The 24061-nt window shown below is 47.7% G+C and overlaps 1 protein-coding gene across 5 annotated transcripts in view, besides 5 other annotated features; it reads left to right on the top strand.

Annotated features, from left to right (window-relative positions):
• The window catches only part of DSCAML1 (DS cell adhesion molecule like 1), a 389743-nt gene that overhangs the window by 199231 nt on the left and 166451 nt on the right, over positions 1–24061 (top strand). The window lies entirely within an intron of this gene.
• Positions 471–970: an enhancer, noted in NCBI's record as "H3K4me1 hESC enhancer chr11:117488029-117488528 (GRCh37/hg19 assembly coordinates)". NCBI's record gives its function as "activates a minimal SCP1, AML or CMV promoter by ChIP-STARR-seq in naive and primed H9 embryonic stem cells {active_cell/tissue: H9 hESC(naive and primed)}" and the evidence as "EXISTENCE:reporter gene assay evidence [ECO:0000049][PMID:30033119]".
• Positions 5571–6104: an enhancer, noted in NCBI's record as "H3K4me1 hESC enhancer chr11:117482895-117483428 (GRCh37/hg19 assembly coordinates)". NCBI's record gives its function as "activates a minimal SCP1, AML or CMV promoter by ChIP-STARR-seq in primed H9 embryonic stem cells {active_cell/tissue: H9 hESC(primed)}" and the evidence as "EXISTENCE:reporter gene assay evidence [ECO:0000049][PMID:30033119]".
• Positions 7885–7984: an enhancer, noted in NCBI's record as "active region_5572". NCBI's record gives its function as "activates an Ori minimal core promoter by ATAC-STARR-seq in GM12878 lymphoblastoid cells {active_cell/tissue: GM12878}" and the evidence as "EXISTENCE:reporter gene assay evidence [ECO:0000049][PMID:35858748]".
• Positions 16888–17636: an enhancer, noted in NCBI's record as "H3K4me1 hESC enhancer chr11:117471363-117472111 (GRCh37/hg19 assembly coordinates)". NCBI's record gives its function as "activates a minimal SCP1, AML or CMV promoter by ChIP-STARR-seq in naive H9 embryonic stem cells {active_cell/tissue: H9 hESC(naive)}" and the evidence as "EXISTENCE:reporter gene assay evidence [ECO:0000049][PMID:30033119]".
• Positions 20963–21163: a silencer, noted in NCBI's record as "peak1488 fragment used in MPRA reporter construct". NCBI's record gives its function as "represses an SCP1 promoter by STARR-seq MPRAs in K562 erythroleukemia cells {active_cell/tissue: K562}" and the evidence as "EXISTENCE:reporter gene assay evidence [ECO:0000049][PMID:32103011]".

The following is a 24061-nucleotide window of genomic DNA, read 5'->3' as shown; positions in this document are numbered from 1 at the left end:
GCTCCCCATCAATGGAGGTGTTCCAGCAAAGACTCAACAACCATCTGGCAGAATGTTGGAGAAGCCATTCAACCATTGAATGAGGTTAGGCCCTTTCCAACCCTGCATGTCTATAACTTTATGAAAGGAGCTGTATTGAATAGCTTAAAAATTTCATTCAAGTAACTCTGAATTTCATGTCCCTAGGCAATTGTCCTTTTTGAATGAGAAGTCATCCTGAAATAGGTATTGTTGAGATCAAAGGTAGCATAGATGAGAGAGAGGGAGAGGGAGAGAGAGACATTATTATAGATCTAGTTTATTACGAGTCTTTGCCAAGTGCTCAGGTGGTGTTGTCCTGCATGGTTACCTGGGCATGGACAGACAGTGTGTCCTTCAACAAGTAGTGGCAGGACCTGGCCCTGCCGACCCCTCCTCCTACCTGGTAGGGGGTAGCGAGGGGAGGCACAGAGTGTAGTGAAGTGTGACACGAGGCATTTCTTTTCTAGCTCCACCATCCTGTGGCCTGGAAACAAAGACTCATTCTGGGTCACGGTGCTTCAGGGAGCTCTGCAGTGAGAGTGTGTGTGTGTGTGTGTGTGTGTGTGTGTGTGTGTGTGTGTGCGTGTACCTGTGTGTTGTCTTGTGGCAGTGTGTTGTGGGTTGTTGTTTTTTTCCTAAATGGCTTAATGCGCCAATGTTTGTGGAGCATCCTTGGAATCAAAGTGTCTTTGGCGTAATTATTGTTAATTGCGCAGACTATTCTATAAACTCATCCAATTAAGAGAAAGTTATTAACTTTATAAAATATCGCAGGCATCCCACAGTGCCGTGTGTAGATGGAATAACAGTTTGAGAGACCGAGTCAGCGTGAAATATCATGCAAATGAGGAGACTTATTTACCTCTTTTTAAAAATACCACAACATGCATACTGAGCGGGGCTGGGTTTTCTCTCAGTTGGCCAGAAACTCCTGGGCCAGTGGCCGAGCCTGGAGGGCTTCCCAGCCCGGCCCAGCTTCCCTCAGAATGGGCCCAGAGGTGCCTCTAGTTGAGTCATCCCAGGAGCTCAGAAGGTGTCCCCAGTTCCTTAGGACAGTCTGAAACACCAGCTCCCCAACCCCTTACCAGCTGTGTGACTTTTCAGTGCCTACCTAACCTCTCTGGGCCCCCATCTTCTTCTCTGCAAACATCAAAATACTGACCTCCTACTGTTGTGAGAATTCAATGAATTGATACACAGAAAACACTGGGAACAGTGTCTGATGTGTAGTGATAGTCAACAAATTTAGTTGAATGATCTTTATTATTGCAAGACTTTTGACTGTAACTCCATGAAAATGTCAGTATATCCCCTGAAGTTTCCTCTTATCTGTTACACGTCTGTAAGAAATTAGAAAGTTCCATAACATAAGTCATTGACAGTATTACTATTTTAAAGTCAATCACGGTTGGGCCATAATTTCTTAAGTAAACATTTTTAATGTTTATTTTAATAAATGTTTTAATATACATGTCAAAGGACACAGATCTTATACAGCTTATTGACTTTTCATAAAGTAAACACATCTGCATAATTGTCACTTAGCTCAAGAAATAGAATATCACCAGCACCCCAGGAGTCCCCTTGTGTTACCCTTCCAGTCACTAACTCCCTCCTCCCCAACCAAAAAAAGCATAAAATCTAATTATGCAAAGTATACTTTTTTGGGAGTCTGGCTTCTTTTGCTCAACCTTATGTTCATGAGATTCATTCATGGGAGATTCATTCATTCAAAACTGGAACAAACTCAAGTGTCCACCAGCAGTAGAAAAACACACTGTGCTATATTCATGTGATGAAATACTATACAACAATGGAAAGGAACAACCTGTATACATCAGTAGCAGTACAGTCTTCCCATTGAGAGCTTAAGGACTGTTTTTCAGGTCTTAGACCAGAGATTACTATAATTCTTGAACCACACACTATGGCTACCCTCCTAATCCCCTGTGTCAGCTCCAGCAGTGGGATCATTTTCTCCAGCTCTGACTCTCCCATAAGTGGTCCACAGCCCAATCCATCCAAATAGTGCCTTTGAGTGAAAACCTTGGGAGGTGGTGAGAACCCCATCACTGGAGGCATCACTAGAAGACACTGGAATCCTGCCTAGAAAGAAGACTCAGGCATCAAATGGCCAATCGGACTGATGATGACCCCAAGATCTCCTTCTTTGTGACTCTGTCAATTACAGGATTACTGTGTCTGATACCCTGAGTGGCTGCAACCACAAAGCCTGGCAGTGGGACAGTCTCAGGGCTGCCTACATTAGAAAAACAATGGTGGTTGTGAGCTGGCTGCCAATCCCAGCTCTGTCCAAGCAAGCAAAAGTTTTCTAGCAAGAAGCCTCATGTCCCTGTTCTGCTGGGGCTCCCTGTGCTACTCCCATCCCTAGTCATAGAAGTGACACTCAACAACTGAACACTCTTCAAAGACCCAAGGGCCACTGATGGGAACCCTAGCCAACAGCTACTTGCTAACCTGGCCCCATCACATGTGGGAAAGTGCATTTGTGAGGATTTCCTTCCCAGGGTAAGGGTGATTTTTTTTTCCCCACCCAAAATACCTGCTTGGGCTTAATTAGCTCCACTCTCCAGACACACTTCCTTCTACAATCTGGTACAACCGGCCATGTTGTTTCACTGGGAATGAGGAACAGCTGGCGACCACCAACACCTGGGGGGTGAGAGACCTGCCTGTACCTCTCCCTAAAACTGCCCCTGAAGACCAACAGGCTAAGAGGCTAGGGTCAGTGGGACTCCCTCCCTGCACTTGCTTCTTATAGTCATGTCTGCTTCCATGAAATCTTCCCCAACTTCAAGAAAATAAACTGGTTCTGGTCAGAAGTTCATGCAGTGAGGGTCACAAGTAGGATTTGCAGCCAAAAGCTACTTCCTCTAGCAGGCCCAGCATCCAGGACCTCAGGATGTGATAGAGGCTCAGGAGTGCAAAAGAAGACAGCTCAGGCCAACCCCTCTTCCTCAGGTAGGAGGGCACACAAAGAGTGTTTTCTTTTATTTTCAACATTATTGTCACCTCCGTTTTCTCATTTCACCTTCGCAGCAGCCAGCGAGTAGGGTACTATTATCTTCATTCTCCAGATGGGAAAACTGAGCCACCAGGGACTCAACTGGCCCTCCCAGGGTCAACAGCTCTTCAATTCCAAGTCTATTGTTTTTAGAAGGACATGTGGTCCAGAGGCAGCCTAAGATGGACTATTCCACTGTTAGATTCTTTACCGGCTTTTTTTCTGTGCAAAATTATCTGGTGCCAAACTGTGCCCTCTGATTATCTATTGGCATCAGAGGTCCCCGCCCTGCCCTGGGCTTGTCTGCAGCCTAACTCAGCCTCAGGTCAGGCTGCCTGCAGGGGCAGTGTTGGCCACACTGTGAGGGGGCAGATGCTGGATCTTGCATAGTGACCATTACTTCTCCTCCCTCCATTCAAGAAATGAGCTGCATTGTTGCAGGTCAACTTCCCTACATGTCAAGACCCTGCTCCAGGCTTCCCACTGAAGCAGGGAAGTCAGACTGCGTTGGGCACTGTGAGGACTGGACCGTTCCAATTTAACTGCTGATTGGCTGCATGACCTTGGGCAAGTCGTTTAACCACATTAAGCCTTGGTTTCTTAAGTCCCACAGGGGACCACAGGGGATAATGACCCCTGCCATACTTTTCTCATAAGGTTGTTTTAAAGAATCAACAACAGGGGATTCAAGGAGGAAGAACAGGAGGAGGTAGAGGAAGAGAAAAGAGAATCAATGGAGACAACTGAAAGCTTTTTGATTAGATAATGTGGCTTTACGTTAGAATCACCACCTGGGAGCTCTTAAAAATCCAAATGGCCACACTGCGCCCCAGTACAATGAAATCAGAATCCAGGCGGTCAGAGGGTTCCACTGGGCAGCCAAGTTAAGAACCAGTGGTGTATATAGCACTCTACCTACATAGGGCTGTTGCACGATTGTCATTTCATTCACTCCCGAGGACACTGGGCTGGTGGACACTGGGGATAGCGATGTGAGCAGATGCAAAGCCCATGTTCTCAAGGAGCTTAGTTGATGGGGAAGACAGGCGTGAGTGCAGAACTGTAAACTGAGAGCCTGCACTGAAGGAAAGAAATGCAGAGAGAGAGAGATAAGGGAGATGCATATATATCTCTCTCCAGGGCAGCTTAGTGGCTTTTCTTCCCTGTAGCCCCTTTCCTCCCACCTTTCCAGGAAAGGAAAAGTAACTATAAATATTTAAAAGTAGCCCCTCCTTCACCCAGAGAGCCCCCAAATTTCCCCACACCCCTGCCCCACCCCAGCAGCCAGATCAGGATACAGCCGCTAGGCTTCAGTGGCCCTCCTTCCAGACCCCTACATTTAGGCAAGGGGAGGGGTGGCTGGGAGGCTGCTTGCAGCCAAGACCTCTGAGCTCTGCAGGGGTCTGCTCCCACACCCCCAACCCTGCATACCCTCCCTGGGCTCTGGCAGGAGGTAGCTGGGAAGAGCAGCCTCAGTCTCCGACCCCCTGGGGCCAGTTATATTTGGATGTTAAAAGTAATGACACATCTCCTCAAAGTCCTGCCTCCCCGCCTGCCTAACGCGGTAAAGTCTCCTGGCAGGGAGGGGGCTGGCTTATATTTAGGTCTGGCATTCCCTGGTAGGCATCCTGTTCTGAAATGGAAATTCTTTTAATAGCTAGCCAGCCCCGAGTATTTAATGAGCTGGTGTTGACTTTTTGATTTCTTGTTCTCGGTAGAGGACTGTGAGCAGCTTCAGCTAGTTAGGGGGTCTCCTCTCACAAAGTGTATTGTTTTTTGAGCATGGAGAAGAGGAGAGCGCACCCTATTATTCCTCAAGGCCCCCCTTCACCTTTCCCCTTTAAGCTTCTGCCTCACCTTTGTTGTCATAATTCACCTCTTCCAGGGAGTCTTCCCAGATTTATCCCACCTGCTTCCTACCATGTCTTTACTATTACTCCAAGAGCACCCTTGTGTCTTTTTCTGGGGTGCCTGGTGTGCGTCCCCAGCAACATCAGCAGTCCTGCAAGAACACTTGTCTCCTGTTTGTTTGGAGTCACAGAATGCTCGGTCTGAGTTGACCATGGTGGGGGATGGACATCAAGGGTCCCTTTAAGAATCTGATATTAAGAAGGTGGGGTGGGGGGAGCATGGACCCTCTACCCCAGAAAAAAATATACATATACACAAAATTGGAAGAAATTTCAGAGGTACATGGACACTCATAAGCCCATCCATGGACCCTAGGTTATCCAGTCTAACCTCCGTGGCTTTCAGGTGCAGAATCAGTGGCCCAATCAGGGATGGAAAGTGACTTGCCCAAGGTCACAAAGCCAGTGAGTGGCAGGACTGGAACTCAAACCCTGGCCTGCTCTCTGCCTCCCTCAACCCACCCAGGTGTCTTCCATCAGCACCATCTGTTCATAGGCTCCTCAGCTACCATCTGGGCCACCAAGCCACAGGATCCAGAGCAGGGTGCTCTGCACCCAAAGGATGCTCACCCCTTGACGATGCCCATCCCACCAGGAGAGATAGGCTGGTTTGGCCCTGGGCACACCAGGCTTCTGCAGGTGCAAGGGTGTGGAAGGAAGGGGACAGGGCTCACTGGCTGGGGAGGGCTGCTCAGCATGGCGCTGGCAGTGGGATTCAGGGATATCACCATCCCACCTGCTCCTGAGCACTTCCGTATAACCAGTATTGATCTCTTTATTGCCTCCTGGAAGGGCAGCTTCATTTGTCAAGCAAAACTACCTTTGTATCTGCAACACAGGAATTGATCCACAGCAGGGACTAGTGGTGTGTTAGGGGCGGGGGTAGGGGGAGGCAGGAGAAGGAAGCAGGCTGGGGAATAGATTGATAGCATAACGCTGATGTGGAAAATGAAAATGGAAACCTTCCAGACTGATGGGAAACATCTGACTTGTCTGATGATGTTGCCTGGGTTCCGGCGTGGGAATAATGCAGTCTGAAGGTTGGCAGGCTACAGGGAGGCGGTGGGGAAGAAAGAGGCTCTCTCAACTTTGCCTGCCCAGTGGAGCTCTTTCTGGAAAGCGTCTCTAAAAGTCTAATAAGCCAAGTGGGCCTTTTTAACTTGAGCATCATTTGGTTTGATCTTATTCAGAGTTTATTGAACACTTACTGTATACAGAGCACTGTTCTCAGGGCTGAGGGGCATGCAGAGATGAACAAGGTAGGCTTCCTGCTCTCCAACACGTCACACCCTGTGTGTGTGTGTGTGTGTCTCTGTGTGTGTCTGTGTCTGTTTGTGTGTTGGGGGGATGGTAGGACAGAAAACTCCATAGACAACTCCGATATTCAGCCAAGGAAAGGGCTCTCTGGAGATACAGCCTATGGGACAGTGAACAAGGTTAAATTCGACTTAGAGAGCTGGATAGTTTCTTAGAAAAGATACAGTGTATCTTAAAGGAAGAATAGACATCATCAGGCAAGGTAAGGAGGGAAAGGGCACTGAAGGTAAGGGAATGACTTAAAGACCTAGAGAGGGCAGAGGAATTTCTCCTGTAGTGTAAAGTGATTTGACAACCCCGCTGGATGTGCAGAGAGAAGAGAAAGGAGTTTAAGAGAAGAGCTGGGTTTCCTGCTAAGATACTGGAAGGGCACTGATGGCGTTCACCCAGATAATGAGCACAGGGCAAGAAGTTTGGAGGAGGAAAAGGGTGAGCTTGTGTTACTTTTGTTCAGTCATTCAATAAAAAGGTTGAGTGCCTTCTGTAGGCCAGATACTGTGACCTGCTCTTGGGAAGACCACAGTGATCAGAAACAGACATGGTTCTCATGTCTCATGCAGAGCTCATGAGCATCATGGAGCTTAAGAGTCCAGTGGAGAGACAGATATTTATCAGATGACCCCACAAGCCACTGTAAAGATGCTCCTGTGGCAAGAATAATACTCACCATACTCCAAGACCTTGGCCAAGGGGCTGAGAGCGGCCTGGGAGTTCAGACATGGCTTCCCTTCCCCAAAGTAGCTGCGCATGGGCTGGGATCTGCAGGATAAGCGAGACAGAAAGGGGAGAAGAACATCCTGAGTAAGGGAATGGCCCATGCAAAGCCTGGGGCCAGCAAGTGAGGAGGGCGGGTAGAATGAGCTCCCTGAGGAGGCTGACATGAGGTAGGCTGGGCCAGAACACACAGAGCTTTGTTGGCCATGCAGGGAGTTCTGTCTTTTCTAATTGTGCTGGCCACATTGTGGGAAGAAGCACCCTCCTGTGCTGCTGGTGGGGATGTAAACAGGTCCATGCTTAGCAGAGGGAAAATTGGCAGGATATAGAAACGCTGGGAATGTACATACCCTTTGACTCAGCAATGCTACTTCTAGGAATTTACCCTACAGGGATGGAAGTAACCTCTTCATACAAGTGTGAAGAAGTCTACGAACACATTGTGGGGGGGGGGGGTTGTTTTGGTTTGGTTTAGGGGTTTGGGCAGTGTTACTTGTAACAGCTGAAACCTAGAAGCAACTTAAATGCTCAGGAGTAGTTAAATAAATGAATATGACTGTGTGTAATTGAATACAGGGCAATCATTATAAAGGATGGGGCGGCTTTATGTGAACAAATAAGAAATAACCTCCATGATATTTTAAGTAGAAAAGGACAAGCAGAAAAGAAGGGATAAAAGTGCAGGGTGTCTGGCTGTGGGAGGTCCATGCTGAAGATCCCATACCTCCATTACCTCTTCCTCCCCACCGTCTGTTCTCACCACTCCATGAGCCCTTGCTACATTTGGGGGCAAGGGGAGGTTGCTCCTGGAGACTAACTAGATTCCATTTGTAAAGAGGCACCCTTGTCAAGGTCTCTGTTTGACTTAGCAACTCATTTGTCAGAAGACCAGCTAAGAATCTGCACCACCCTTCTACCTGTTCGTAGGACTGGAGGTGTGAGTGTAATGTGGAGTTGCAATGGGGCAGTGGGGGTAGTTTTGGAAGAATGTGTGACCAGAAAATATAGTTGTAGCCGCAAAAGGGGGCGGGAGGAACTGGTCTCTGGAATTCCCCATTGACTCAACAGGAAAAGAGCAGAGCAGTCAAGAGTGTCTTGTTGGCATTAAGAATGTACATAAACAATCCATTGGAAGCAGTCACAATTTCTCTCCCCAACAAGCCTTTGGTTGAGAACAGCTTGAAAGTCCAGATGCAGAGAGTACTGGTGCCTCCTCGAGGGGGCAGGTTGCTTTTTTGGGTTTGTCTGAGGGGAGGTGGGAATAGAAAGGTTGTCAGTTAAAGAGTGATCACTGGGACAGCCTCATCAGTCCTTGTGAAACATCAGTGTAGGTTCTGAGGAGCACAGGGGCAAGGCCAGTTCTGCAGACCCTCTCGGTTTCTACCATGATGGCCATGGGAGAAGGCCAGAGTGCAAAGCCAGTCTTCCAGACTGTTCCACACTCCATTCACCACTCTATACTATCAAACAAACACTGCATTTAAAGCTAAAAGGCAAACTACAAACCAAGAAAAAAATCATTTGAAACAAATATGGCAATAGATAAAAATAAAAATCCTTAAAATATAATGTTCTTCTAGATCATTAAGAAAATACTAACACCCAAAACAAAAATGGGCAAGGAACATGACAGAGAATTCGGAGAACAAATAAAAAGAGTTGATAAGAATATAGAGGAAAAAATCAGCATGGTTGGGCATGGTGGCTCATGCCTATAATCTCAGCACTTTGGGAGGCCGACGCAAGAGGATTGCTTGAGCCCAGGAGCTTGAGACCAGCCTGGGCAACACAGGGAGACCTGGTCTCTACAATGTTTTTTTAATTAGCCAGGTCTGGTGGTGCACGCCTGTGGTCCCAACTACTTAGAAGGGTGAGAGGGGAGAACTGCATGAGCCCAGGAGGTCAAGTCTGCAGTGAGCTGTGATCGCACATCTGCACTCCAGCCTGGGTAACAAAGTGAGACCCTGTCTCAAAAAAAAAAAAAAGAAAGAAAGAAAGAAAGAAAAGAAAATCAACGTCTCTAGTAATCAAAAATGCAAATTAAAGCAGGCTGCTATTTTTGCTCTTTCAATTTGGCACTTTTTTTTTTTTTTAAATTGAGATAGGGTCTGGCTCTGTCGCCCAGCCTGGAGTGCAGTGGCACGATCTCGGCTCACTGCAACATCTGCCTCCTAGGTTCAAGCGATTGTCCTGCCTTAGCCTCACAAGTAGCTGGGATTACAGGCACACAACACCATGCCCAGACAATTTTTGTTTTTTTTGTTTGTTTGTTTGTTTGTTTGTTTGTTTGTTTGCAGAAATGGGGTTTCACCATGTTGGCCAGGCTGGTGTCAAACTCCTGACCTCAAGTGATCCGCCCACCTCAGCCTCCCAAGTGCTGGGATTACAAGTGTAAGCCACCATGCCCGGCCAATTTGGCAGATATAATGCTCAATGTCAGCAAAGGTGAGAAGGACACTTCAGTACACTGCTGGTGATAGTAAAGAGTGGTACCGATTTATGGTGATGTGTGTCAACAAAGAGCCTGAAGAATATTATTTCCTGTAGACCTGATAACTTTATTTCTATGAATGTATCCTAAGAAAATAATCAGAAATACAGATGAAGACTTATGCTAGTGAAAAAATCAGACATAGTCAAAATACCCAACAATGGGGAATTATTTAAATACATTTCAGTACATCCACACAATGGACTATCTCATGGGCACCCTACATGCTGGTTTATGAAGAATGCTCAAAGATGTTAAAATGTTCTCGTATAATGTTAAGTGAAGTAAGCAGGAAATATAACCATGTACAAGATAGTCTCAACCATATTAAATGTGTGTGTGTTTATATATACACATATAAAAAGAGAAAATGGTATTAAGAAAAGACACCAAAATGTTAATAGAGAGGGTTGGATTGTGGGTTTCAATTCTTTCTTTTATAATTTTCAATATGTTTCCATTTTTAATAAGCGTGCTTCATTTTTATGATCAGAAAAAAATATTCAATAAAAGTTACATTTATTTGCAAGGCTGTGTTCACCATATCAGATCATTAAGTACTGGCACCATCTCTCCATTGTGCAATTGTTCTATTCTGCAGTTGTATTGCTGCTACACTTTACATTTGTTCATCTCTATATCCCCCCGTAGATTTACCCGCTAGGTGCTATCATCCTGCTGTCTCCACAGTGCTTGGCCCAGTGTCCTTACACAATGGGTCTCAAGACACATGTCATGGGTCAGAATTTACCCACTACAATGTAGATGAAACGTCTTTTAGCCCCCATTCCCTCTGATGCAGGTGGAGAGAGGAGGTCTCAAGCTCATCACGTAAAGAAAGACAATTTAAACCATCTTCCAGTTTAAACGCTCTGGTGGGATTTCATGCATACATGCTCTTGTGAGGTTCACATTCTTTATTAAGACTCTTTTTCCCTATTGACAAGGACGCTTGATTCTCCCTAACCAAAAGGGCTACTGAGTGCAGGGAAACTCATCCATCCCCGTGGCGTTGGGAACAGGCCCCTCTGGTTCCTATGCTGCCCTCCTGTTGTGGGGTCCTGCCCTCACCATCTGTACTGCTAAGGTCTGGTGTGACTCAAAGTCTCAGCACAGATAAGGTGTGGGGGCTGCTCTCTGAGAGCCAGGCCCTTCCACCTAATGCGTAGGCCCCTGCCTCAGCCTTCACTGGGGAGCTGTGGATCCGCCTGCGACTGGCTACTGGTCTCTGGGTGCCTCCACAGCCCTGCCTGCACCTCTGTAGCTAGTCCCTTCACCAGAGCTCTGCTTTTGAACCATCTGAGTTGAATTCTCTTCCCTGCTGAGCCCCTGGCTGATACAACAGTGCATGGCAGTCTCTGCTGTGGATGGTGGCTCCCTGGTGGGCAGCATCTGTTAGGGGTGTCAGTGGCAGAAACCCAGGCCAGAACACTAGACCTACACATAGTACTTTTCTCTGAGACTGGCAAGCCTGACCTCCCACTCTAGGTCGGTGAGCTGCTACCCCATTTGCCTCTCTCCTCCCGCTTCCTGTCAAGCATGTCCAGCCCAATCTCCAAGGTGGATAGACTCAGCCACAGAGCACGAAAAGGCCGTGTTGGTGTCAGGAGACAAGGCCACAGGGACTTACCACCGCTGGGGTCGAGGATAGCCGCATGCAGGTCCCGGAAGAGAGTCAGTCCCCTGCCCTGCTGCCCTCCCCCAGCTGCTGTGCCTCTTTACGAAGGAGACCTTCTCTGCTGGGCATTTTGCTAGTGCCTAGAACACTGTCTGGTCCCAGTAGATGGTGAGTCTCCCAAGGGCAGGGCTGTGATTTTGTCAGTTCCTCATTCTCACTGCTTAGCACTCTGCCTGGCTAAGTATTGGCTGACTCAACCAGTCAACACTCCCCCTTGTCTAGTTTCCTATCCAAATGTCACCCTCCTTCTGTGGCCTACTGAACAGGCACCATCCACAGAAAGCCAAGGAATTTTTTGAAGAAAACAGACATCAGCATCAGAATCCAAATTTGTCTCCTCAAGATGCAGGGATGGGCTAACATTTGCAAGATTTGCGGTGCAACAGAGGTAATTGGGATCCCTGAAATCTCCTGCCCAAGAGAGAAGTGGGGGCCTCTGACTTACTGATCATCCATGGAACCAGAGCAGAGTCTGGGTGCCGGGGTGGAAGGACGGATGGAACCCATGTCAAATGAAGGATGCCTTTTTGAAAAATGGATGTATCTAAGAGAAGAGAGAATATTCTGGAGAGTTTTATAACTACCTCAAATACTTGAAGTAGCATTGTATGAAAAACAGAGTGCATTTATTTAAGGGTATAACTACAATCAGTGGGTGAAAGTGAAAGAAGTGGGGTTTAACTCATCGATCAAAGTGTTTTAACCCTCAGAGCTATTCACAAGCGGAGCAGGAAGTTTGCACAGCTATGCACTCTCACAGCGGGGGAGTTTACACTGAGGCCGCGAGAACTTCTCCAGGGGGGCAGTGAAGGTAAATTTCTCCAGGGCCATGGAAGCCATGGAAGGAAGAGAATGCATTCCTAATCCCTAATTTTCTGTCTGGTCCTCAGGGGGAAAATATTACTTACAGGGAAATCTCAGGAGGGAAAGAAAGAACCCTGTAAGAGTGGGAGCCCTCAACCCATAGCTCACCTGAGAACTCAGCAGAGGAGTCGCCACGGCTCTATGGGGTCTCCTGGGACCACTGCAAAGAATAATTTCCCACATACCCAAAAGTGAAGCTCAGCCCCCTGCTCCATGCCCCCTGTTATTATACAGAATGGAAGCCTGAGAGTAGACAGTGGAAAGGACAATAATGACACTGTTGCTGTGTTTTCAGCACTTCCAGGCCCTGGACTAGGTGGTGTACACCCCATCTCCAACCCATCCAGGGGGTTAGGGTTGGCCTCCGTTGACAGATAAGGAAATTGAGGCTCAGGGAGATTAAGTGACTCTGCCCACCCACACCCCCACACCCAAAATGGCATGGCTGTAAAGATCCCAAGCCAGGTTTCAAGTCCAGGTCACCTGGCTCCAGCGAGTTCTCTACAACTCCCCTGGGGCAGGAGGTGTTCACCCAGACAGCATAAACTCAAGTCAGAATCCCTTTCCCCATGTTCTCGCCTCTTCCCTTCACCCTGAACCTCCTTGTCACTGGTTCATCCACCCATCCCGCCTCAGACACCTCTTCCTCCCATCACAGGCTCTCCTGACCTAAATGGAGAAATCTAGTCCAACAACGACAGACTCCACGTGCCCAGGACTAAAAGAAGCCAGGTGGCAGAGTAAATGAAAGTTGGCCAAAGGCCTCCACTTAAGCGCTTTCCATTCTGTCTGCCTTTGCATTCTGGGCTGTGCTGGGTTTGTGTGTGACTCTGTGCGTGGGGAGAGGGCTCTGTGCTTGCGGCAGAGGGCGGCTCCCAGAGCTTGGGGTAGAGGATTGATTTTAGGATGGGGAGGCTGGAGCCAAGCTCAGGAGGTGCGGGCATGGTCAACCCCATCTTTCCAGTCTCATCGGTGACTCTGGGAAATGTGTGTCAGACCAGCCGTGCTTTGGGGTGGGGGTAGTGGGGAGAATCAAGGAGAAGAGTGGTGCTGATCTAAAACCCGGGAGCAGCCGGGCATGGTGGCGTGCACCTGTAGTCTCAGCTACTCCAGAGAATGAGGTGGGAGGATTGCGTGAGCCCAGGAGTTTGAGGCTGCAGTGAGCTATGATTGTGCCACTGCACTCCAGCCTGGGAGACAGAACCAGACCAGGGAGCAGGGAGAGGCAGGGTAGAAAAAAGAACCATATTATTCTTTGGCTGCCATGGGCCCCATCAAGAAAAGCCCCTCTGGTCAGGTTCCTCCCGAAACCCACAGCCAACAGACAGCCTGTGTGCCACAGGCCAGGCAGTGGCCATCCCCAGAGCACCTGTCTCACATCCCCATGGCAGGGAGCCCTGGATCCCAGACAGGCCCCGTTGCCAAGGAGCCACGGGCAGACAGAGCGGCATGGGAGAGATCTTTTTCCATTGCTAGTCTCTGGCTCCCTCATCCCGGGCTCCTGGGACAATCAAGCCACTTGGTTTCCTATCTCATCTGCCACTGGAGCCCTCACAGAGAAGCTAGAACTAGTAGGAAAGGCAGGCAGAGAGCAAGATTCAACGAGGGGAAAGATGTCTGTGAACAAACGGGCTTGGACCGCCCCATCTGAGCATGAATAAATAAACAACAGCAATGATGAGCTGGCCGCCTTGCCACACAGCTCTGCCGGCCGAGAGAGAATTCCTTCAAAAGAATGGAGCCTCGTGCCAGTTCATTATTTATGAGCAGGGCCCACCAAGGTGGGGCCTCTGTTGTTTGTTGCAATTTAACACAGGCCTCGGTGGAGAGGGAGGGAGGGGCAGGCGCTGGGAGGGAGGGAGATCTCTGTGCAGCAGCCAAAAGCAGTAAGAGGTCAAATTCATGGCAATCATCTCAGAAAACATGATCACCCTTTCTCGGTGACAAAGGTCTGGGTGCAGCAGCCGTGTTGGGCCACTTCTCATAAATGGCACCTCTCTACCCCCTGGTCCATCAAATAGATGAATGCCACCAAATGCTCAATTCAGTGAGCATATACAGAACACCTGCCATGGGTCAGATGCCGTGCAAGTGTGCTAGGGCTCATGAAGATGAATGAGATGCCTGCATTGTCGGTAATGAGCTCAGGCTCCAGAATATCTGGGTGCAAGAGGCAATCTGCCTGGGAGAAAGACCACTTTGAGTCAGACAGGCTGGGGTTTGAATATCAGATCTGCCAGTGCCCAGCCACAGGGCCCTGGCCAAGTCGTCTGCCCAGCTGAGCTCCCATCAATTAAATGGAACCAATAATGCCTTCCTTGAGGTGTCATTTTAGCGATTACAAATAAGATATCTGGCCCAGTTCCTGGCACACGGTAGCTGCTCAATGAATTCAAGCGGCTGGTGGTAGTGATAGTATTTGACCCTCATACAAATATCTTGATCTTCAAGATCATTCAGGAAATTTCCCTTTTTCTTTCTGCTTTTATCCAAAATTTTGGCATCTCTTAGTAACTCTCAGAGTAGTCTTCATTACCCAGAATGATTCCACTATTGGCCTTACTGGAAGAGAGGAATTGATCTCCCCTTTTTGAATTTAAACATCTTCCTTCAGAATGAATTCTGCTATATTACCTTTATGACATTAGCCTTATGCTTTAGGAAATAATAATATCAAATATTTATTCACTGAGTGTTTGCTGTGTGTCAGGCAAGTGCCCTATATCCACTATCTCATTTGATCTTCACAGCAAACTTTGGCATAGGTAGTTCACTATCACCATTTTACAGATGAAGAAGCTGAGGCCTAGAGAGGTTAACTTGCCCACAATCACAGAGCAGATGACGGAGCAAAGATCCAAATAAGCCTGACCCAGAGCTCTTCGCCACCATGTGATTTACACGTGGGGTTTCCTTACCTTGGAAGTCATGCCCGCTGCCATTTGATTCAGGATAGCAAGGCCATAGATGGGCAAAACTGGGACCAAGGTCACTACCAGTTTTAGGATGAGGATTGCAGCACACTGAGAATTTCGAGGCCAGGAACCGGCAGATTCTAATTTCCCACCATAGCCAGGTTGGGAGACTCTGTGTCAGTTCCTCATATGGGACCTTGCACTGGTCTCTGATTGGTTTGGGTTTTTTTGTTGTTGTTGTTGTTTGTTTTGTTGGGACAGGGTCTCACTTTGTCCTCGAGCTGAAGTGCAGCGATGCAATCATGGCTCACTGCAACCTCTGCCCTCTGGGCTCAAACGATTCTCCCACCTCAGCCTCCCAAGTGGCTGGGATTACAGGTTCACGCCACCACACCTGGTTGTACTTTTTTTTTGTAGAGACGGGGTTTCGCCATGTTGCCCAGACTGGTCTTGAACTCCTGAGCTCAAACGGTCCACCTGTCTCGGCTTCCCAAAGTGCTGGGCTTACAGGCGTGAGCCACCCCACATGGCCTCTGATTGTTACTTGTGTGTGAATTCCTATCATCCCAACTAGACTGTGAGTGATTCAACGGGAGGGGCTGGCAACCAATCAACAGTACATATTGGGCACCTGCTGTATACCTCACCTTGTGCTGAGTGTTGCAGAGTCGAAAGAGAGGGACCCTTGGGCCTACTACGGTGGCTCTCACCTGTAATCCCAGCACTTCGGGAGGCTGAGGCAGGCAGATCACTTGAGCTTAGGAGTTCAAGACCAGCCTGGGCAACATGGTGAAACTCCATCTCTACCAAAAATACAAAAATTAGCTGAGCATGGTGGTGCATGCCTGTGGTCCCAGCTACTCCGGAGGCTGAGGTGGGAGGATTGCTTGAACCTAGGAGGCGGAGGTTGCAGTGAACTGAGATTGCACCTTTGCACTGCAGCGTGGGTGACACAGTGAGACCCAGTCTCTAAATAAATAAATAGAGGGACCCCCCTGCCTGCCAGGAGTCACAGGCAGCTGGAGGGCAGAAACACACACTCATGCCAAGACAACCGGCCACTCCAGGCCACGTGTGCCCAGGGCCCGTCGTGGAGCAAAGGGAGCATTCTTGGCTGGCACCAAGTCAGACACCTTCCATATCTGGGAGCATAAAGCAGGTGCTCAAACCTACTTGATAAATTAAACTTCTGTTTTTAGAGGTCGTGAGAAGGCAGCACCTCTGGGCCATGCCCAGCTGAGGCTGCTGATTCTGAGGTAGGAACAGAGATAGAGTCGGGAGACATGCAATGCCAAGAGAAACAAGCTTGGGCTTTGCAGGTTCATGGCCTCATTACAGCAGCAGGGAATGTAGTGAGAGTAAAAGGTAATTCTTCCAGCCCCCATTTGGGGATTGGACACAGGGCCTTGCTGTCACAATAGACCTAAACCCAGGAGAGATGATACTCAGCTGAGTTGGCCTAGACCCCTCGGGTCCCAACATGGCTCTATCCCAGAAACCAATGAATCAAAACCAGCCCTGGGGAAAATATGAGGAAGGCCAGGCTCCTGAATGCAGATTCCTCACCCTGTATTTTCCCTCCTGCTGGAGAAGCCAGGTCCCATGTGTTCAAGGGCGTGACATTCTCATGTTTCTCTCGTTCACTTCCTTTATAATCAGCACTTATTCTCAGAAAAGGCTGCAGAAATGTATTCTTATTAAGGGGTAGATAACTGACCACATTCTATAGTGTTGCCTCTCTCAGGGGTATTTGCATTTAAACCAGAATCCATGGTTTAAGTGAAAGGAATAAAACACGGATAGTGGAATTTCAGATCCTGGCAAATACAGGACGGTGTTTTGGATGGCGTAGTGTTTCTGGAGCTTCCACAATTAACACCACCTATTCTCACTAAATGTAGGCTGGTCCTGATCTTGGACATCTCAGCTGGGCCCTCTTGACCTCAGAAGGTGAAGGTCGGTCTCCCTGCTGAAGAGTCTTTGTCCCCTCCTCAACACACCCTGGTGGTCTTCAAACCCTGGTTTTGTGATAGGCCCGCAAAGGATTCATGATCCAGGGTTGAGGAGTTGCCTCTGGGTCTTTTTGTCTCTCTGTTTCTGAGGACAGAAATGCTGAACCAGCTCAACACAGGCGTGGTAGTGTTTGTAGCTCACTGTAGTTTATTTGGAGCTAGAGGTGGGGGTGGGGACAGAGGAGCAGTAGTTGGTGCGGGTGGGGGCTGGGAACAGCTGGAGTGCATTTGAGGGAGCAGCTGCCATAGAGGCTGCTCTGTGGGTGTACGGCAAAATGGTGGCTTTTAATACTTTTCAAGGGATAATCTTGTTCGATAAATCCAGCTGAGGAGGTGGGAACTACTCTCGGATGATTCCTGCCCTCCCTCCCGTCCTCCTGCAGGGCCCTCCCAAGACTCTTCCCAGTGCCCAAGCACAGTTGGGTCTGTGGGATCCCTATGCTTCCTCCCTACCCCTCCTTCTCCTCCAGCTCTGGCCTCCTGGCCTCCTCCAGTGGCCAGCCAGGGCAGAAGGAAAGGTTCTGGGCCCTTCATAAATCACCTTCTCCCTGCCTGGAAACACCCAGAGAAAGGAAGCTGCCATCTCCACAGCCACGTGGCACGGCTACCAGCAATGCCAAGAGATAATGACAGGTTGAGTGTTCTCTGCCTAGTGAGGACTTGCATGCAAATGACTCCACTCTGAATGGGCCTAATTGTCACTGCCTAATGTGGTGGCTCAGACCACCTCCTCCTCCCTCCTCTGGTGGGGAGGAAATGGAGCAGGGAGCAAAGGGGATCCTGTGGTGTGGGCGGAGGGATGGACTCAAATGGCCCCTGGGACCTGGAGCCCCAGGGAGAGGGAAGCTGGCATTTCCCCTCTGTGGGCTGGGCCTGCTAGTGCACAGCTGTGGCGAGAGTGGGGATTTGCTCCCCGACATGATCCAGAGTGAGATTCGGCTCTACAACCGTAAATCCCTTTATGCATCCCAGCTCAGCCGGGAGAGGCGGTCACGTGCCTGCAAGATGTTACCACTTGGCCAGCCAGGCCCAGGCAGAGAAAGGAGGTGTTGCAGAGAGCAAGGCAATGAAGATCCTCCCTGTGTGCTACAGGAAGCCCTGCCCCAGCCCGTCCCCAGGAACTCCCGCCGGCAACGGAAGATGTGAGGGTGGTCAGGAGTAGAGAGAGCCAACACCTACGGAATGTTTGCTTCATTTCGGAAGCTTTTCTACATGTGTTTACATGACATATATGAAGACTCATTCCCTTCTCGCCATACCTCTACCATGTGGGCTCTATGGCTGTTATCCCCAGTGTTTGCACAAAAGGAAAGGGAGGCACAGAGAAGTGAAGGAATTTGCTCCAGATGACACTTTTTGGCAGAGCCCAGATTCAAATACAGAGCCTGGCCCTAGACCTTCCACTGTGCTCTTCCACCTCCCTCTGGGAATGCACCGTTTACCCAGTGCACTCCTGGAGTCAGGGCAGCCAGATGAGTCCCGGATGCTAAACTGGGCTTTAGTGTCTGTCTCTGAGTGAGTAAGCGTGCGTCGCTATTGATGTGGTGTTTATACATCTCTGTGCACTGTATGCCCATTTTCTGACCCAGCTGGACATCCTCTGGTCTAACCAGAACCAGGGTCCTGCAGCCCTTACTGAGTTGAATCCTGGAGTGGAGTCCATGTTAATGAAGAAAGCACAGAGCGGTGGCAGATGTCTTGTGTTGAGGAAGAGAAGGCTAAGGAAGAGCTCAGTGAATATGTTCACATGGTATAGAGAGGGGCTACGGTGCTGCTGAGCAGAGAGGGCTCAGAACCCATCCCAAACATCACCTTTTCACCCATTTACAATTCTGGGGCTCATATGTGATTTCGTTTGGAGAAAGGCATTCATACTCAAAAGAAAAGTGTCCAACATTAGAAGATTTCGAAGTGTCTATTCCATAATGCTATGAGAATGAGTAATAAGGAGCCACTGAAAACTATGATTAGGAGAAGCCATTTGGAAATCCTCTTCCAGTCACAAGTATCCCAGTGAATAAGAAGGTATATGGACCAGAACTAAATGTGGCCATCCAGTAGCTGAGAGGGCTGGCTAGTGAAGAGGAAGCAGCCGCACATTCCCCTGGTAGCAACCAAAATACAGGGCTGGATCCAGGGTCCCCTCCTCAGGGTCATCCTGAGAAATCAAGGAACAAGAGGTGAAATTCACCTGTGAGGTGGTTTTGCGGCTACTGCCCTGAAATTTAACCCAAGCTGCAACGGAATGTTTCATTGTTAATTGGTCAGGAATTCTCTAATCATTGATAGGAAACTGGTGTTGAGATCCGTATTACTGTGATAATTCTGTAATTCCGCTGCATTAGTGTTATTAAATGTCACTGAGTGATTGCTTTCCCAATGTTTAAATTTTTAGTGCATTTATCCTTTCAAAACTTTAGGCATCAACCCCAAAAAAATATACCACTAAAAATCCTGCTCCAGAATGGGATAGTCAGAATGCTTCTCAAAACTCCCAGAGCTCCTAATCAGTTTAAACCAAAGCCATTCAGCCCTGATTTTGAGATCATGACAAACTCGCTTTGTGCCCAGGAAAGTTGGCGCTGCCCCTCCTTGCCACACAGACTGCCTCCCTGCTCCCTTTTTCCCCTCCTTCAACCCCTTCTCCACCCAGCCCAAACCCTGAAATTATACAGACAAGAGCAAAGACATGTTTGGACTTTATGTTTGGGGAATAAAAGAGATCAGTTAGATCAGTCTCTGAATGAAGGCAAAGATGAAGATTCCCAGTGGGGCATGGGGGCCCATAATAGACCCCAGACCAATTTCAACCCAGCTTCCGTGGCTGCATGTTGGACAGCTGCAATCTCCTAAGTCACCCTAGATGCCCATGTTATAGCTGGGCGTAGCTTGGATTGGGATGTCAGAAAAACCTGAGTTCTAATGCTTCCTTTGCTCTTCAACCTTGGGCAAGTTAATGAACGAATTCCTGCTCTTTAGTTAAGTGGGGTAATAAGTTATACTCCATAAAATAGGGGAAAACATCAAGGTTCTATGAAAACTACTATCTTTTTAATTTTTATCTTGTACAAATTCATTATAACAAAAAGTAATCCCCTTGGAAAATTTCAGGAAATGACCAAGGTAGGGAGATCTGTTACACTGGCATTCCAAGTCTCTTATTCTTGGACAGTGGAGGAGAAGGGAGGGAGGAGAGCTGGAGAGAATGTTTGAAGGTTTCATGTTCTGCTTTCTTTTGTAAGCTGTGACCACCCACATGTTGGAGGAAAATGTTAAACAATTAAATGACCAATAAATATTTACTTCTTTAATATATATATTGTATCAGGACTGGCCTGTGTCTAGGGTTTGGGCCAGGCATATTTCTATACGCTCAGTATGCCCAGGCTGAATATGTCTTTGGTTGCTTTTTTTTTTCTTTTTTTCTTTAAGTAAAGACAATATTCCTAGAGGTGTAAAAAAGCACTTGAGTTCTGGATGATTCTGAAGTTGACAATTTTCTTTCCAAGTTAGGGAAGGAGAATTAAGGGGCAAAAATAGGAGGTCAGGAGAAGACAGCACCCAAATGAAAAATCAGAATTAGCCAGGTGTGGTGGTTCACGCCTGTAATACCAGCACTTTGGGAGGCCGAAGCGGGTGGATCACTTGAGGTCAGGAGTTGGAGACCAGCCTGGCCAACATGATGAAACCCCATCTCTACTAAAAACAACAACAACAACAAATAGCTGGATGTGGTGATGCACGCCTGTAGTTCCAGCTACTCAGGAGGCTGAGGTAGGAGAATTGCTTGAACCTGGGGGGTGGAGGTTGCAGTGAGCTCAGATCGTGCCATTGCACTCCAGCCTGGGTGAGAGAGTGAGACTCCGTCTCGAAAAAGACAAAAGAAATAATTCCTAGGTCCTCCTTCTTGCAGGCTGGCAAGGACCTTGGTCTCTAACTCAGGTTGAGTCTTAGCTGCTCATGGCCCTGCTCCCACACACCTGCCCCCCAGTTTGCTTCTTGCAGAGGTGTTTCTAGCAAGTAAGGTGACTGAGGCCGTTCTGGCGCTGTCCCCGGTCCTGAAATGCCACCAGTTCCTGTCTTAGTGATTAAAGTGGCTCTCGAGTGCTCCCCTCTAGTCAGCTGTTGTGTGGAAACTAATTTCCATATAATAACATTTTGTTATTTGTAATAAATCATACCCACAGTAAGGTGACTGGGTTATGTCATTATTTGCAAACCTACAGAATGTAATTATCATATGTCGGAAAACCTCCATGCAGAACGGTGCTGTTCCAGCCGCAGCACCATCCAATAATAATAAAAATTTATATTGTGCTTTATGGGACTGCTCATCACAGTCACTGTTCTATGCCAAGGGAAAAGAAAGCCCACCGCAGGGACAAATTCAGGAACGGACAAACCTTGTAAATGCCAAACTAGTTGATCCCAAAGCTAGCTACTAGGTTTCCTCCTCTTTTTTCCTATGAGACCTTTATATAAGAGACTGGGGGTCCAGGTTTGCCTCTGCATTCAAAACAATGAAAACAATTAAAAGGAGTTTCCCTTTTATGCATTAATTACATGTGCATCAGCCTTGACTGATATTTGTTCACAAAGACTAGATTTTTGAACAAAATACCTGCATTGCTCCTTTTCACTACTTTTTCCCTGTATCCCTGTCTTCACCTCCCACACCTCATCTTCTTTTCCCCTAGAATAGGTGCTTCCATTGCTTTCTGTGAACATAGTAATGCAGGTTCCATGAGCAGTAAATGAGGGACGTGCTGATTATCCATCATCTTGCATCTGTTTCCAAAATGTCCTCTCTGGTTGAATTTCACCCAAACATAGAAATATGTGATTGCCATTAGCAATGGGCTCCCCTCTTCTCTCTCTCTCCTCCTCAACCGGACACATATGTGTCTACCCCTTTTGGCATGTCCTACTGAGATTTTTTTTTTTTTTTTCCTGAGAAGAATGGCATGTTCTGGCTGATCAGAAAATGCTCTGAACTCCCAGGGAGGTTGTGTTTCCTGGTAGAAATCCCAGTAAGAACAGAGTCTTGTAGTTTCAAAAGATCTGGACTTAAGAGTAGCAATTCTCCACCATCCAGTGCCTTGCGATCTTTTATGACTCTGGGGAGTCATTCTCCCACTTTAACCACAATGGTCTTGCTTTTATTACATGTGTGGTTGTGGCAGCAGCTCTCACAGATAATTTTGTTTAGGGCTGTGAAATTTGCCTTCAGACTCAAAATTGAATTCAACCCACTGCTTTCTGCAGGAGCGATGGGCTTGCATGTATATCTCTTTCCCAGGAATGTTTGCAGTTATTGATGCTGAATGTGGTCATTCATCATGGACAATAGAGAACAAAAAAGAATTTATTAATACATTTCCTGCTCCCACACGATTTTGTCTTGGAGCTTAAGACATGACATTTTGTTCCTTCACCACTTCTATCTGCATATTTCCACACCTGCCTCCTATCCCTCTACTTTGGGAGGTTTGTTGAAGGAAGACAGTCTTACGTTGGTTGCAAGGGAATGAGAACCTGAAAGGTCACTTTTTTTTTTTTAGCCATACATGGAGCTCACAAAAATCCAACTCAGGGTGACCCACACAAAGGTGGAGATAGAGATGGGCGACATTGATAAACTCTTCCTGACTGTGATGTAAGTTACTGAAATGCATCACCAGGGAGAGGCGCTCATCCTCTGCCTCAGATTTCAACGGAAATTGGGCGGGGCCGGCCCTGGCACCTTCCTGTTCTGTTATCCCTGCCATTTTTATCACAGCCTATCCACAGAGGGGAATGCTATGTAGTCCTTAAAATGATGTTTTTGAAGATGATTTGAGGATGCAAAATAAAAGCCCTCATTGGAATATAAAATGAAAAAAGCATATAAAACTGCATACGCAACCTGATCTCCATCACCCTTCCAAAAAAAGACTAAAAGGAAATATACCAAGTCTATCTCTTGTTGGTGGGGTTGCAGGTCATTTTTATTGTCTTACTTTGGTTTTTCTGTATTTTCCAAATTTCTTACAACAAATTGGTATTCTATTTTAATCAGGAAAAAGTAGACATTTTTTAAAAGCCCCCCAGAGACAGTGGCTCCACTGACTTTCTTGATCCCTATTCTAATGACTGACTTTCCAACCCTCCCCCTCTGCTATGAAGAAAGCCTTCCTCATTAAAGTGCTTCTGTAGCCTTCCCTCACCCTCATCTCTTCAGAGAAGTGTCTTAAGGAAATATCAAAGGGTGTGTGTGTGTGTGTGTGTGTGTGTGTGTAAGAGAAAGACAGAGTAATCATTATATCAGGAGGGAGGAAACCCACCAACCCACCATAGAAATGCAAAACAGAACAGTTAGTTAGAGAACGGCAATGGTGAACTATTGAGGAGTCCCTTCTTGACAGAGGTAACAATGAGGAATGAAAATCCCACCACAGAAACTGCCAAAGGGCAAAGGATGACAGGAGAAGTGAATAATAAAGTCTCTATGGGGCAGGATGGGGTAGAGGGGAGGAACACATCTTTCATCCCTCCCTGGCCTCCTGTCTTCCTTAGGCTCCAACCACATAGGACTAAAGATGAGAGTCACAGTAGGGAAATGAGGCTGCCCCACACCAGGGAGGAGCCTGAGTAGCCTGGCCACGGAGAGAAGACCAGATAGCCAAAGCCAGAGGAGGAGCAGGGGCTGCTGCAGGTCTGCGGGATGTCAGGTGGAGGTGATCTAACCCAGCCCGCTGGGGACACCCAGAACACAGATGTCAGAGCCAGAACACCATCTCCAAATTCACAGAAGCTGACACCCAGAGGGCAGACCTGACTGTTCCTGGAGTTTTAGGAAGGGAGACTCACACAGGTGTGCGTGCATTGCTGAGAGCATCAGCGGATCTGATGAGCTTCTCACCTGGGGCAGTGTCATCTTCTCAAGGGTGTTTGTTTGAAAACGCAAGAGGGGAGAATACTTGGGTGTCAGAGTGACTGAGGGATCTACTGGCATTTCATGCACAAAACCCAAGGATACTAAATGTCCTTCTTTGCCTAGGATAGACCCACAGGTATGTGCCTCCCCAAAATGTCAAAGTATCCCCACTGAGAAACAACAGGAGACTTTTTTCTA

This window comes from Homo sapiens, chromosome 11 (assembly GCF_000001405.40).
Source record: "Homo sapiens chromosome 11, GRCh38.p14 Primary Assembly".
In the NCBI taxonomy this organism is placed as follows: Eukaryota; Metazoa; Chordata; class Mammalia; order Primates; family Hominidae; genus Homo; species Homo sapiens.
Note: the sequence above shows the minus strand (reverse complement) of the source record. Positions and strands in the feature narration are given on the sequence as shown.